We start from the raw sequence: 15,835 nt of genomic DNA on the forward strand, positions 1-15,835 counted from the left end.
ACCACTCTTGGTACTGTTTTCATGCATGACCTTGGATAATTGACATTTGTCTGTGGTTCAAACTGGAGATGTCCAGTGCTTACAGATACCTAAAGATTGCTGTGTAGTAATTTGCATTCTTTAGTAAGTTTTTCCAAGAAGTTTTATATCTTCTTTCTGTGAGAGTACAGCTGGGCTGGGCAGTGTGGTCCATGCCTGTAATCTCAGCTACTCTGGGAGGCTGGTTGTGGGGGCATCTGTTGCCTGGAGGTCTCTGGAATAATACAACACAGGGCCCTGAGCCCCAGAAATGCTGGCTTATTCCTCTTGAGTTTCCTCCTCAGTTAAGGGATTATTCAGGTTTCCAAAACACACAGTCTCTTATGACCTGAGAAAGGTCTCTCATTTGCATTTGCTCATTACGGTGGGTAATAGACTGGAAGTATGACCTTTCTCCAGTTAACGACCCTTCCCCACAGACGAGGCTTGCGTGCCTGTGTCTATAGCACATAGTGCGCCTGAGCTGATGATGTGGCTCTTCTGAACAGCTGCGGTGGCAGCCCTGAGGCCAAGGCCCCGGCTACTCTAGGGTGGGTGTGGGGTGGGAGGTGTGCTTTCCCACCAAAGGAAGTCTGGTTGTATAGGCAGACTTGTCTCCCCGGTGGTTAGGGCTGTCTGAGGAGCTGCTCTTGTTTCCAAGAGTTTCAGGTACGTAGTGTACTGAGGGGAGCCCCCAGGATTAATACACAAAGTGGATGACACCTCCAGGTTACTAGAGAGGCAAACCTCACCCCCCCAGGACGGTCCCTTGCAAACCCTTGCAGTCCGCCATATCCATCTTTCCCACTGGATTCCAGTTCTCCAAGGAAAAGCCAGGGCCTGGAGCCAGGGCCACGCTGCCCGGTGTCCCAGCCCAGCAGGCATCAGGGTGGGTGGGGAGCCTGGGCTGCCCGGAGGGGTGCTCCCTCTATGCCCTTGTACCCCACGTGGCTCCTTCTTTGAAGCTGTGTCTCAGTCCCAGGGGAGAGCCTTCCAGGATGGAGGTTGAGAGGAGGGGAACGTGCATGGCTCTGTCTTCATCTCTGCGGTGACTTGCGTCGTAGGAGAGCTTTGGTGTGGGCTGTGCTGGCCAGTCATCACAGTGCCCTGCAGGGCGCAGGGCTGAGGGCAGGCTGACCAGACCTTCCATGAAGAGATCGGGCTGGCGGGGACACTGGAGTCCTCACTCTGCTGAGTCCAGCTCTGCCACACGTGGGCTATTCTGAGCTATGGCGAGTCATCATCCTCAGTTTCCCTTTGGCGAAGTGGGCCCAGTGATGCCCAGGAGCACCTTTTGAGGGTTGAGTGTGCAGCTTTAAATGCGAATGCCCACGATTCTGTGTTCTCCAGCCAAGTGTGGGGTACCCAGACCTCTTCCAGTTCTTGCCCTTCTTTTAAGTGGTTTGCATGAGATCCTCCAAGCACTGTCACTTTTTGAAACCCTGGCTTTTGTTTCCAGTTTCCTTTTCCAACAATAACAGGAACTTTGTGTTTAGTGGTTGGTGGTTCCACCTTCACTTAATGGGTTCGTCATCTCTCTGGGCATGTGAGCAGGGCTCGGGATCACGTCTCTGCTATAGAGACACACGGTGAAAACAGGCTTCAGCAGAGAACCACCGTTTGAATTATATGATGGCTTAAAGAAAGCTCTGTGTCTACTTCTGACATCTGTGTTTCTTGGTATGATGCTGGCACCTTAAAACATTTTTGCCCGTGTCTAGTAATATAGGAATTCATTCACTCATTTATTTATTCAACAAAATTTTCTTTGCTATTTGCAAAAATGTTATTTGCTATAGCAAATAAAAGCTATGCTCTATGCAATGGAAGAACACAGGTATGAACTATACAAGATTAATTCCTTTACAAAACTCTTAATAAAGGGAAAAACACTTATGAAAATAGAAGGTATCATTAATAATTATAGCATACACTTACATAATACTCTCTGTGCCACACTATTCTTGGTGCTTTCTATTTATATTATTTCAATTAATCCTCATAGCAACGTGTGAGGTAGGTACTATTTCTGTCTCCTTTTTATAGCTAAGGGAACTGAACCACAGACAGGTTAAGTGGCTTGCGCAAGATTGCACAGCCAGTAAGTAGTAGAGCCAGCTTCGAAATCCAGGCACTCTTGCAGCAGTATCCACTCTTAATCACCTGTGCTACACTGCCTTGGAAAGCAGTTGTTACATTAGAAAAGTGAAGGCAGATAATCCTGTGGGGAATGGCTTGTAGCTTGAGAGGTTCCAGAGTTCACATCTCACTGTAGTAGGGATACACCCAGCCAAAGTCTGAAAGTTAGAAAAATTATTTTAAGAAGTATGTTTGCATAAGTTGATTCCTTCTCTTTCAGGTTTATCTGCCATAATTCATAAGGCTCATACAAAAATTCAATGCGAAAGTTAGGTCTTAAGGAAAACCACGTGATTTGTTTCACTTTGGTGCGGTGGTCTAAACCTCTCTATTTATTTGCCAGTAGAACAATGCTTTATTAGTTTGCTGTTTTTCTTTTTTTTTTTTTTTGAGACAGAGTCTCACTCTGTCACCCAGGCTGGAGTGCAGTGGCGCGATCTCGGCTCACTGCAAGCTCTGCCTCCCGGGTTCACGCCATTCTCCTGCCTCAGCCTTCCAAGTAGCTGGGACTACAGGCGCCCGCCACCACACCTGGCTAATTTTTTTGTATTTTTTAGTAGAGACGGGGTTTCACCGTGTTAGCCAGGATGGTCTCGATCTCCTGACCTAGTGATCCGCCCATCTCGGCCTCCCAAAGTGCTGGGATTACAGGCGTGAGCCACCACGCCCAGCCAGTTTGCTGTTTTTCAAACTACATAATCATGCTCCCTTACAGTGGCCTGGAGATGTCAGTATTCCTTTTTGCTCAATCAGTTTATTGTAGGTAAATGTGTGTGTGTGTTGTGTGTGTGTGTGGTTTGTGTGTGTGTGTTTCTTTTTATCTACCTTCTTTGCTATATACATTTTGCCATATGAAAACCCTGGTAACCACTGGGCACAGGTTTCTATTGGTAGACACCACTTATCCACGGAGGAAGTGAGGACCCGGAGGTGGGAGGCTTCCCCAGCAACATGGCTCACATCTCGTTTAAGGTGCTGACAGTGCTGGAGGCTGGGCTGTTTAAGGTGCTCAGCAGCACTGCACCCGCACTGAGCCCTGGAGCTCCCGCTCCCCACCCGCCCTCTGAGGCCCTCCCAGGCTGGCTCCTTTCTCCCTCTGTAGCTTCCTCCTCAATTAGGCTCTCTTCCAACTCCCAACTCAACCCTGGTTGTGCCAGAAGTGAACTCCTCTGTACCCCCTCCACCTGGGCAGGGCTCTACACTGCCACCCCTTCTGGTCACCTGCCTTCAGGGCCTGGCTGGGCGCCATCCTTATAGGGAGCCTCTCATGGTTCCAGGGACCCAAAGTCCTTTGATCTGCCTCGCCCCTGAGACTTGCAAGTTCATACCATGGGGTCTGGCCTGAGGCAAGCCTCTTCCGGGTCGTTCTTCCTGCCTGATGGACCCTTAAAGCTGCATCTCCTGTTGCTGCCCTGAAGACTCTGGTTGTGTTTTCTGTGTCTCCGGCCTCGCTGCTGTTGGCTTCTGGGTCTTTATTCCATTGCAGGCCCTGTTGCTGTAGACAGCCCTTGGGTTTTATGTGTTCAACTTTCGACCAACCTGCACTTTGGCACATTGCATGTTGTGACACATAAACCATTTTTGGTGTGCTAAGTTCAAAGTTTTGAACAACAGCTGATGAACAAATATTTTGAGCTATGATTTGCTGGCACTGCTTGCAAGTTTGGTTTCTGAAGCATTTATTTATTCAGTCTACATTCATTCCAAAATATTTGCAAGTGCCTATGGAGATCCAAGCATTGCTCCAGAGAATAGAAGCTAAGCCGCCACACCTGGTTCCCACCCTTGGGAAGCTTTCAGCCCAGCCTCACCTCCTTTAAAATCTTTGTGCATTAGGGACTGAAAACCAGGAAATAGAGATTTTATATAAATGAATACATAGATGATTGAATTTAGTGGTGGCTTGATTCTAGGACACAGAATACTTCATGTACTTTTATCACCAATGATGAAAACTTGCGGTGAGTGCTTCAATTGGAATGTATTTGCTTGGCTTTACAAATGACCTTAGGGCTATATTTATAGAATCATTAAGGGTCTGAAGGAGTTCCTTAAATTTTTAGTTATACTTTGCTGCATTTTATTGGGAACATTATTTGCTATAATGGCATCTATGCAGTTGGGGATCCACATAGGTTTTGGGACAAGGACATCTGTACGTAGACATCTACAACCCAGAGGTATGCTCGTTAATGTTAATTTTTGTGTCATTTTACAACATATTGTGCCATATAAATGATCATCCAAAAAAGGAAGCAATAAATTTGGAAGTCATCAAGCCATAGTTTTGGATCATGATTAGGTCCAAACTTTTGCAGACCTGATACCTATCTTGGAGATTTTTATTTTTTTTATTTTTTAGAGACAATCTTGCTCCTTTGCCCAGGCTACAGGAGGCTGGGGTGCAGTGGTACAATCATAGCTCACCACAACCTATCTGAGAGTCTTTTAAGTTCTTTACGTGAATGATTTAATTTTATTGTTAAAATATCCACACAAATAGAGACTGTTAATATCTGCCGTTTATAGGTATCCAAACTGTGACCCAGAAAGGTTAAGTCACTTTCCCAAGATCACACAGGTAATAAGTAGTTGCACCAGGATTCAAACCCGGCAGTCTTATTCTAGTGCCACCATGTTATAGCCTCTCCCTTCTTTGCACCTGAAATTTCTCAGCTCTAAAATAAGGGAATTGGTTTATATAACCTTTAGGGTCTCTTCCAGCCTAACATTATGTGGTCTCTGACGTATTAGCTGGTAGAAGACTGGATGTACCCTCACGTGCACATGTTCACACACACCTCCACAGACACAGACGTGAGCCTGGTGGACCTCCCGGAAGGCGTGCAGCAGGAATAAATCATGCCAAGAGCTATGGGTGAGGAGAGGACCTCGGCACCATTCTGCAGGCACTTTCAGGGGAGCAACACCTGTGTCTTGTTAACTGGCTACTACATTTTGTGATTTATAATGGAAAAAAGTGACACCTACAATACTGAGAACCTTTTTAAAAGGGGGGTTCTCAGGACACAGCCTAGCAGAGCACAGAATGTCTTCACATCTCCATTTTTCACAAAAATAAAGCACACGGGCCTTAATTGAAGATGAGCTTCATGAAAGCATATCTGAGGTTGGTGGCAGATTGTGGAAAACTGACAAAGCATTGCTTTCTTTATTATAAACAAATAATCAACAAATACAAATAGTGGATTATGAATTAGAAATTGCTTGTGTTAGATTGTCCAGAATATCAAACACTACATTGATGCTGTTGCTCCTGAAACATCACTCTTAAGATAAGCAACAAGGGTGAGATTATAAGGAGGAAATTACATAATCATAGAAAATAAAATAACATCGCCACCAATAAAAGATGCCAGCACTAAATAACAGCCCCTGTCTAGCCCTGTCTCTGCCAAGCCCCACTCTGAGCGTTCTGTGGGCATTATCTCCCTGCATGGCCTCTGGAAGGAATCTTACTGCCATTTTAAGCATAAGGAAAACACAGCTTAAATATGTGGCCCAGTCTAGCATTTATTTTGTAGTGGAATCAGGGTTTAAACTGGAGACCCTCAGTACTGAACCCTACTGTTTATCCTGCTGGAAGAAGTTCACGGTGAAACTTTACTCAGGCTTTGGGGCCCAAGTGCAGACCTTCCATGCATGGGCAGAGAACAAAGTGGTCCCTGGTCAGCCCTGAATCCCTGCTTCCTGGGCTTCACAGAGGGTAACAAATGACCACAGAATACTCACTTCAGAACGGTCGCGACACTGCAGAAGACTTTAGTCCCATTCACTGGTGCTGGAAGGCACCTCAGGACTCAGCATCTCAGTGCACAGGGAGCCTAGGGTAGCTTGGGGTGACTTAGTTCAGCAAGGTGCCCTCATGCAAGAAGCCGCCCAGCTGTGGTAATGGGATGGGGAAGCCTCTAAGTCTCCTTTTTGTACAGAGAAAGGCACGCCAGGGACGCTGAGCAAAATAGTCACGGCTCCTTAAAAGCAGGGAGAACATCCTTCCGCGCTGAGCACTGCACACCCTCTTCTGCAGTCTCTGCGAGGGAGAGCCCTGCAGGGCGGATGTCCACCAGGCTGCCGGTTCCAGCCCTTGCTGCCCGTGTAGGGGTGTCCATGGGCGCTTGGTTCTGGGCCTGTGTGGGAATAGTTTTGTATAGTTTGACTCTTATTTCCAGATCATTCGTGTCCTGGGCTGTGTGGGAGCCAGTGGTAGGCAAGGGGTGTGGAATTAGGAGGCCTACCTGGCTTCCACCCCTCTCCCTGGGTCTGTGGAGGCTGCAGCTCCATCAGGCCATCACCCGCTCACTGCAGCTGGGTGTGCCAGGCAAGGAGGTGAGCATGCAGGGTGGCCTCCCAGCCCTCCCCCAGGTGACCTGTGCTCATTTCCGTTTCTGAGTCCCCACTTCCTCCTCTAAGGTCATGGCAAAGAGCCCTGGCGGCTGCTGCATCCAGTCCCATCCCTGCCCTGCCTGGGAGTCCTCAGGGTTCCCTGAGTCTCCCTAGGCATCTGGTAGCCGAGAATAGAAGCTTCTGGCCTTCACGCGTCAGAAGGCACCCGTGGCTGCCCCTTACTTCTGCCTCCCAGCGTTTTGTAGACATTCTTCTCCTGAGTTCCCCCTGCCCCCCACCCACCGCCCTGTTGTTTCCCTAAGTGCCGTTTGTAGAATTAAAAGATACCGTGGACACTTAGAGGAGGCAGAAATACAGGTATTCCTACAAACTGGGTCCCCTGCAGGAAAAAACGTGCCCTTCAGAGTGCCAGAAAGCTAGCCTGGGGGACGGGCCTGGGGCTGGGGTGGGCAGGAGTCCTCGCTGCACCTGCAGCCTTGGGGCCCCTGCCGTGCCTATGCTGCAGTCACTGACTCCTTAGACCTGTGCCTAGTCTCCTACTGAAGGGCTACCCCATGCTTCTGATGCTCATTACACACCAGTTACGGAACTCCCCCGGGGAGGAGCTCTGTTTCAAATACGTTAATTTCTGTTGTGAGGGGTCAGTTACCGTTTATCTAAGTATTACTGAATTAATAGCAATTTTTGGCCAATATGTGTTTCTCGGATTCATTCCATTATTGTGCCATTCCTTTGGTCACTGAACATTCATGATTATGGAGCAAGAAGCTCAGTGCACATGTCACATGGGCTTACACTGTGGGAGGTCAGAGCTGCAGGGGAGACTAGACAGAGAGAAGACTAGAAGACTAGACAGAGAGAGATGGTGATGTGAGCTTCAGCCCCAAATCCGGAGAAATACTCTGTCTAGCCTAAATAAGGCTTAGTCATTGCCACTTGCAAATAAAGAGAGATATTCCTGCAAATATATGCTTGTTAAAAACCAGTAAGGCCAGGTGCAGTTGCTCATGCCTATAATCCTAGCACTTTGGGAGGTGAAGGTGGGAGGATCACTTGAGGCCAGGAGTTCAAGACCAGCCTAGGTAACATATTGAGACCCCCATCTCTACCAAAAAAAAAAAAAAAGGCCAAGTGTGATGGCCTGTGCCTGTAGTCCCAGCTACTCGGGAGGCTGAGGCGGGAGGATGGCTTGAGCCCAGGTGTTGGAGGCTGCAGTGAGCCACGATCACATCACTACACTCCAGCCTGGGTGGCAGAGTGAGACTCTGTCTCAAAAAACAAAACCAAACCAACACCATCACCAAATTTAAAACTATACTTTCTGCTTTCTGTTTATCTCTCTGCATATCTCCAGCAACAGATCTGTTTTTTCCTCTTCTGTCTCAGCAAGCCTTGCTCCAGCCTTCATAGTGCCATGTGCTGTGCCAGGCTGTGGGCTGTAGCTGCTTGCCGCTCAACCTTGGTGACATGCTCTCCAACTAGCAGAGGCGGAAAGCTGGTGTTGGGAAGGAGTGTGGCACTGGAGCTGGTAGCAACTCCCTGGGGAGTCTAGCAGGCTCTGGGTTAATCCTGGCAGTCCTCTCAGGCTGGGCACAACTTAGCCTGCATTGAGCCTGGGTGAATGAATGCCTGCCACACCACTGGTGTCCAGAAGCCTTTACTGTATTTCCTTAATATTGATGTAATCATGATGAGCCACCACTTCTAGAAAACTCTGAACATTTTTGGCCTTTAAGGGAACAAGTTTCTAATTTTAAGACTAAAGAAGGCCGGGCTTGGTGGCTTGGCAGGGCGTGGTGGCTCATGCCTGTAATCCCAGCACTTTGGGAGGCTGAGGAGGGCAGATCACCTGAGTTTGGGAGTTTGAGACCAGCCTGGCCAACATGGAGAAACTCTGTCTCTACTAAAAATACAAAAATTAGCCAGGCATGGTGGCGGGCTCCTGTAATCCTAGCTACTTAGGAAGCTGAGGCAAGAGAATCTCTTGAACCCGGGAGGCAGAGGTTGCAGTAAACCAAGATTGCGCCATTGCACTCCAACCTGGGTGACAGAGCGAGACTCTGTCTCAAAAAAAAAAAAAGACTAAAGAAGAACCCCATTTACTACATTTCTCACTGTGCTGTGTCTTGAGCATCTTCCAGTACCGTACCTGGGAGGGCTGAGTCCACGAGGCGCTCGTGCTCACTCACTCTCCATTTGTGCTTCTAGCTGCTGACCTCTGGAGTGAATTTTTCTGCAGAAATCCTTGGCTGCTCCCCATGTGTGCACCTGAAGAGTTATAGAAAGCCCTGTTCACGTTTCTTTCACACATGTCCTTTATGTCATGGGCAACCTGTGTTCATTGAAATTTTATGATTTCTTTGTATCACGTGTGTATAATTTTCACTGTACAAGAAACTTATATACTTAAAACATCTTCCAGTGTTAGGCCTGGTGCGATGGCTCATGCGTGTAATCCCAGCACTTTGGGAGACGAAGGCAGGTGGATCTCCTGAGGTCAGGAGTTTGAGACTAGCCTGACCAATATGATGAAACCCTGTCTCTACTAAAAATACAAAAATCAGCCGGGCGTGGTGGCATGTGCCTGTAATCCTAGCTACTCAGGAGGCTGAGACAGGAGAATCACTTGAACCTGGGAGGTAGAGGTTGCAATGAGCCAAGATTGCACCATTGCACTCCAGCCTGGGCGACGAGAGTGAAACTCCATCTCAAAGAAAAAAAAGAAAGAAAAAAAAAAACTTCCAGTGTTTTATTGGCTACTGATTTGGACACTTAGTGGAGAGAGGCAGAAATGCTGGTTTGTGTGATTTATACAGCTGTAATATTTAATGGCTTTACACGACTAATGGGCCCTCTGGTTCAAGGTGAAACCAGAGGAGCAAAGTGTGTGCTGATTCTTGTCCATCTTCTTCTTTAGCTTGTGTGTCTGTGTGGACGTCTGTGACAGGAGCACAGATATCAGGTACAAGTGAAAGAAACAAAACTCAGCCCCAAAGTGCACTGACTTCTCTTTTCCCCTCCCTTTAGCGCATTTGAGTCCATTTAAGTTGAAGCAACTATTAGCCACCTACTGTGCTGGCCCCTGGGGATGCAAAGATAATGACGTGGGTGAGCAAAGAGACAAGCAATGACAGCAAGGTGATTAGCACTGTGTTGGGGGATGCGCGGGTTGCCATGGGAACATGGAAGCGGTGGTACTCAGTTCCTGGATGGGGATGGGAATACTGGAGAAGGCTTCACAGTCTTGGCGAAGGGTTTTTCTGTTTTTGTTTTTTGCTAAAAGGTCAGTAGGCATTTGTCACGCAAGGGAATGAGGAGCAAGTCATTCTAGGCAGGAGGAACCGTGTACATGAAGGTGCAGTGATGGGAAGCCATGGTATGCCTGAGAGGCATTTTGGCCTCCAGGGGGATGTGTAGGATTTAGGAAAGACTCAGGAAGATGCTCGGGACCACATGGCGAAGGGCACGTATGCCTCGCTAATACGGACTATGTCCTGGAAGTGATGGAATCTATGGAAAGATTTGAGGTCGAGGAGTGACATGACATTTATCATCCAGAGATAACAGTTTGCTTAATAGAATAAACTTTCATTCATTCAGCAAATATTTTTGAGACTGTATTACATGCCAGAAACTGTTCTGGGACCCAGGGAAATAACAAATAAACAATACTGTGAACATTCCTTGTATTCAGGAGAACTTACATTCTAGCGATTGAAGGCAGTAAATACAATAAAAGTTAATTATATGATTTATTGATTCATTTGTTTTTGCTTCATTTAAAGGTGGTAAGCCTTATAGGAAAAAATAAGGCAAGGAACATAGTCCTGGACCTGGGTGTGGAGAAGGCCCCATTTATCAATAGGTAGCTTTGTTATACTTAAATATAAAGAAAACTTGCTTTCATTTATATTTTTATGAATTTACTTTCAGTGTGCATTTTGGGACTAAGCTTCTGGGTTACATTTGTCTCATTTATGCCAATTATTCTTGCTGTTTTATGCACTTTTCCACAGAGATAGTATTGAGAAAACCTGGATTGGCTGTGGAGCAGAATTAAAGCTCAGCTGTCAGCCTACTGGGGCACTTCCTCCCTCCAGGAAGGTGGAGGAATATGACACGTCGGGGCTCCAGATGAGAGCTGTGTTCAGAGGAGGAAGTGGTTTTTCCAGGTAGATGTGGCCATCCCTTCTCTCTTTAATGATGACAGAATGGGACAGAGCAGAGCTGGCCTCAGCAGGAGCGTTCAGGCTGGAGTGAGGACCAGCGTGAGTTTTCCGTGCTGGGGTTGACGGCCTGGGGAGGCAGCTGCATTGTTCTCATCCTGTGCTTCCCGAGGTCGAGGCTCTGACACCATCCTGCTCTTCATCTGACTGACTTGGGTCCAGCGATGGCATCAGTGAATGAGTCTGTGGGCGGGGCCTGGGTGGTGTTTGAGGTTTGTCTGTTTGGAGAAGGGGTGGGGACAGAAGGGAGGCTGGGGTGAGGGGTGAGGGTGATTCATACCTGTGAGAGGGAGGCTGAGATTCCCCGAGGGCAGGACGGTGGACCACAGTGACCCTGTGGGAAGAGGTCTGGGGACGGATGGCCCATGGCGGCAGGGTGCGCAGAGCTCCTGGGTGCTGGGCCATCAGGCCACACTGCACAGGTGAAACCGGCTCTCAACAGGACATGCCCTCGGGGAAGAACTGAACAGAAAGACAGATTTGTTGTTAATTTTGGAAGGTAGGGGATTTTATCAGCCAGTGTTCCATTGAGGATAATGGGTTTTAAGCCCCTGCTCCTGTTTGTTGACCACGTTATTTTGAAGTCTCCCAAGTCTACTAGAAATATTCTCTTTTTGGTTACTGGGGAGATAGACAAAGGAATTTAGGAAATCCTTAACTGGCACTTAGTACTATAAAGAAGTTCTTTATGAAAGGTCTGAAATGGGCATGTTCAGTCAAAAAATATTTTGTCTTTGCAGAGCTTGGAATTCTGGCCTGGCATAGGTTGTCAGAAATAAGTAGTTTTTCCTAATAAAGCTGTAACTTTCAGGGCAGGTGAGAGGTTCCCATCTCTCTGCCCAGTAGCGGGGCTGGTTCTAGGTCAGCCTGGAGCTCAGCCTCCTGCTGAGAACCCAACAGCCCCACCCGTGCCTCTTCCTACTGCAGCTTGGTGTACAGGGGAGTGCACGCAATAGCTTGCCACCCACTTTGATCCCAGCCTTGAGTGTTATCAGTTACAGGAGCCAAAAGCCATTCTTTTAAGTACCAAGTCTCCATCTGGGAAGGAAGAGACAGTTTAGTTCACCAGCAGACCTTCCTTGTTTGGGGCCTGGGACATTCTCCTGCAGTAGAACATCCTGCCATCCATAAAAGAGGTATGAAGATGCCATCACAAAATTCTGGTGTGGGTTGGTTGAAGAATACAGGGAACATGGGTGTTTATGTAGCCCACGCCCTATGAGGTCAGTGAGGTTTGAGATCTCAGAAGGAAGGCCAGGTGCAGTGGCTCACGCCTGTAATCCCAGCACTTTGGGAGGCTGAGGCGGGCGGATCACGAAGTTAGCAGATTGAGACCATCCTGGCCAACATGGTGAAACCCCGTCTCTACTAAAATACAAAAAAAATGAGCCAGGCGTGGTGGTGCACACCTGTAGTCCCAGCTACTCGGGAGGCTGAGGCAGGGGAATCGCTTGAACCCAGGAGGCGGAGATTGCAGTGAGCCGAGATTGCGCCACTGCACTCCAGCCTGGCAACAGAGCAAGACTCCTTCTCAATAAATAAATAAACAAACAAATAAATAAATAAAACAAAAGGAAAGAAAAGAAAAGAAAAAAGATCTCAGAAGGAAGACGTTTTCAAATTTCATAAAGTTGGGAAGGATTCTAGGCAGATGCCATGAGAAGCTCAAGGCAAGAAAGTCAGGCAGTTTTTACCCAAGTGGGAAAAAAATAGCAAGCTGTGACCCACCTGAGGGCAAGGCTGGGGGCAGCCGGGCAGCCATACATGGGCTGGTGGAGTCTTGACTTATCCCTGGCTCTGAGCTGGTTGCAGATATTAAGAAATAAGACAGGTGGAGAAATCAGCACTCACACCCAGTTCTCAGGGTGCCGGAGGCTGGAAGGGAAGGAGCTGGCTGTTTCCTGAATCAACAGTCCAGGGCTTCAGCCAGACAATGGATTTTCTCTCCAAAACACACAGTGTTGTGCTGAGAGAGAACATTGTGATTTAGGAGCACAGCCAGATGACTGGGTAGGGACAGATGGAAAAAGCCTAGCTATTTATGACCTTGAGGACAGGAGAGAACGATTCCATAATTGAAGACCACAGGTAACTAAAAAAACCATGTGGCCAGTAACTTTAACTAATTCTGCCTTTAAAAATCTTTCACAATTTGCTAATAATATATTATTTCCTTCTTTTATCTCCTTCCTGCCTCATTTTCCATATATTTATTTCTAGTGAGGATATTTACTCAGCTAGAGAAAATTTTCTTCACCCAAAGGGACACCCATAGTTAACTGTGGTTCCTATAAGAACCTCTCCACAGGCTTTTACATCTATTCATTGATTTCTTTAATAATATTGATTGATTGCTTACAGTAATAATACTGATTGATTGCTGGCCATGTACCACACTCTGGGGACTCATTAGTAAGACCAGGCAGACATAAATCCCTGCCCTCATGTAGTTTATGCTCTAATGGAGAAAAGAAGACAAGAAATATGATGTGTATATTTGACTATCATGTTAGATGGAAATATGAGTAGGAGAGAAGAGTGAAGCAGGAAAGGAGGTAGGAGGAGCCGGGAGTCTGGGAGGTGAGATGGGGAGTGGAGTGAGGGAGGCCACGGCGATGGTGATGTTTGCACGAAGGCCTGATGAAAGTGAGGGAGTTGGCTGAGCAGGGGTCTCAGGAAAGCTCTGGGCAGAGGAGCAGCAGGTATGGATGAGCCCTGTGTGCAGGGAGCAGCGAGGAGGCCAGGCATCCAGAGCCAACCTCGGGAGGGCAAGGGGAGGCTGGAGAGCTGGTGGGAGCCACATCAGGGAGGGTCATGTCAAGTTCATTATGAGGACTTGGGTTTTCACTCTGAGTAAAATGAAAGCTGTTGGAGAGACCTGATCTGACTTCCATCTCAGCAGGAACATCCTGACTGCTCTCTTATGAGTAAACCGTGGTGGAAGGACAGGGGAGGAGCTAGGAGATCACCATGGGGAGGGGAGATTGTACCTTGGAGGAGGGTGACTGTAGTGAGGTGGTGGGAAGGGGTCCATTTCCAGTGGGTTTTGGAGGTGGAGCCAACAGAGTGTGTGGATGGGTTGGGATGTAAGGGAAAGGAAGGGGTTATGGATGACTGCAGTGGCATCTCTATCCCCAGTGCAGTTTCTGAGATAGGGAAAGCTACTGGGGGAGTGACTTTGGGTGGGAAAATGAGGTATTTGGCCTTGGACATAGTAAGCTGAGATGTCTATTATACATTCCACAAGGATATGTTGAACAAGTGACTGGAGGAGTCTGGGGTCTAGGGCAAGGTGGAAAGGTCAGGGATAAATGTGGGAATTGTTAGTGTGAGACAGTGACTGCTAGAGATGGCAAAGGAATGGTGTATGCAGAAAAGAGAATGGAGCCAAGGGTGAGCTGGAGCACTCCAAGGTTAAGAGGTCAGGGAGTGGAGGAGGAGCTGAGAGGTGTGGAGAGGAGTGCAGTGCCATGTGCGTCGGGACATGGGAAGGATGCGGTTCCCTGTGGGAGGGAGCAGAGGTGTCAACTGGGGTCTGGTGAGATGAGGCCAAGTTAACCACATGGGGGTCTCCAGGGACCTGGCCAGGCGGTGTTGGTGCAGTGATGGGCCCCAAAGCCTGATTCGGATTTGTTTAGGGGAGAATCAGAAATTAGACACAGTGAGTACAGAAAACTTGTTTGCAGCATTAAACTGTGGGAGCAGAGAAATGGGCCATGGGGCCCAGAGCATCTTTTTATAAGACCAGAAGTTAGAGCATGTTGGCCTTCTCGTGGGAATGGCCGTGTGGAGCTGTTGTTGATATAATCAGTGTGTGTCAAAATGTCCAGAATTCAGGAATCCATTTTTAAAGTTACCTGTCATTTGAATGTTCATTGGAATAATTCAGAGCAGGCGACGGAAGTACCAAAGAACTAATGTGGGATTTTATTTTTCAAAATCCCTGTCTTAAAAATTTATAGAATCACTGATCATAAGAATCGAAGGACTTTTAGAACATAAGACTTTTAGGTGTGAGAACGCAAAGAGGCTTTCAGGCCTTTCAGCCAGGGGATGCCCTTGTTCAGTGAACCCTCCAAGGGAAGCCTCCCCTGCATGCAGACCTGAGCCAGCGCTCAGGGTTCCTGACGCAGCTCCCGCTTCTGCCGCAGGTCGCGAGGCCCCACAGGGAGCACTGAAGTTGTTCAGAGGAAAAATGAAAAGCTGCTGGTGTAGTCCAGGCACCTCACTTTATCATAGGAATCTAGAGATAAAGAGTTGCCTGAGGATACACAGAATATTGAGTGTAAGAGCTGGAAGGAGGCCGGTATCCTGGGTCCTGGGTCTCGGGGCGGTGGACTGTCCACTTCTCCCTTGCTGCCTGTGGCCGTGCTCCTTGCCCAGGCAGTGACGGGCTCTTGGTGGGTGGATGCATGAATGAATGAGGGACTGACCAGAGGGAAAGAGCCTCCCGGCCCAGCCTTCACCACACCTGAGGATAAATGCTGCCAGGCACTCTTGTGCTTCCCATTTTGGGGCCCACGTTTCTGCTGTCAACACCTGTGCATCTGCCTCTGTTGATACTGCCAGGTGGATATGGTCCTCATCACCCACAGACCTCCAATACACATGGAAAGCACATCTGTCAGTGGGCGACGTGGAGCTCCTGTTGCGCTTCATGATTGATGCTGCTTTCTCTGCAGAGCAAAATCACGAGAAGGTTATGCGAGGTTAGTCCCGATGAGGGTGTATTAAAAGCTCGGCACAGTTGACTTTCCATCACTTTCACTAAGTTTATTTAAACCCTGCAGATTGAGAGCTGTGAATGGGCCTCAGCAAGGCATACAAGGCTCTTCACAATGGGATGCCTTGGCGCCCAAAGTCTACCTACCACGTTGTACACAGTGAGATCCCGGAACAAGCAAGTTAGGGCCCCCAGAGGTGCCTTTCTGTGTCTTGATCAGGGTGCTGGTTACTTGGGTGTTTTTCGGTCTGCATAGACTCATTGAGCTGGACTTTCTGATACACACACACATGCATACATACACATATGCTGTATTTCAATCAAATATTTTTTGAAAAAATGAAGTATATTTGTCCTTGAATTC

General features: G+C 47.8%; 1 protein-coding gene and 1 long non-coding RNA gene across 45 annotated transcripts in view, besides 2 other annotated features; one reads left to right on the top strand and one right to left on the bottom strand.

Annotated features, from left to right (window-relative positions):
- Nucleotides 1-15,835, top strand: part of LDLRAD4 (low density lipoprotein receptor class A domain containing 4) — a 435,073-nt gene that overhangs the window by 197,222 nt on the left and 222,016 nt on the right. Inside the window, exons 1-2 of one of the 44 annotated variants that reach the window (XM_047437790.1) lie at nt 9,269-10,387; nt 10,539-10,694. The exons of the other annotated variants lie outside the window; for them this stretch is intronic. The gene's annotated coding sequence lies outside the window, so the exon portion shown is untranslated. Of the gene's footprint in view, nt 1-9,268; nt 10,388-10,538; nt 10,695-15,835 lie in introns of those variants that run through there. 44 annotated transcript variants of the gene reach the window in all.
- On the bottom strand, nt 4,596-12,631 carry LDLRAD4-AS1 (LDLRAD4 antisense RNA 1). Its single transcript, NR_040031.1, has 4 exons — nt 12,477-12,631; nt 11,029-11,210; nt 8,672-8,790; nt 4,596-6,305 (listed from the first exon to the last, which is right to left on the bottom strand). It is a non-coding gene; the product is annotated as an LDLRAD4 antisense RNA 1 (long non-coding RNA).
- Nucleotides 6,426-6,475: an enhancer, noted in NCBI's record as "active region_13116". NCBI's record gives its function as "activates an Ori minimal core promoter by ATAC-STARR-seq in GM12878 lymphoblastoid cells {active_cell/tissue: GM12878}" and the evidence as "EXISTENCE:reporter gene assay evidence [ECO:0000049][PMID:35858748]".
- Nucleotides 11,059-11,621: an enhancer, noted in NCBI's record as "H3K4me1 hESC enhancer chr18:13425961-13426523 (GRCh37/hg19 assembly coordinates)". NCBI's record gives its function as "activates a minimal SCP1, AML or CMV promoter by ChIP-STARR-seq in primed H9 embryonic stem cells {active_cell/tissue: H9 hESC(primed)}" and the evidence as "EXISTENCE:reporter gene assay evidence [ECO:0000049][PMID:30033119]".

This window comes from Homo sapiens, chromosome 18 (assembly GCF_000001405.40).
Source record: "Homo sapiens chromosome 18, GRCh38.p14 Primary Assembly".
Lineage (NCBI taxonomy): Eukaryota > Metazoa > Chordata > Mammalia > Primates > Hominidae > Homo > Homo sapiens.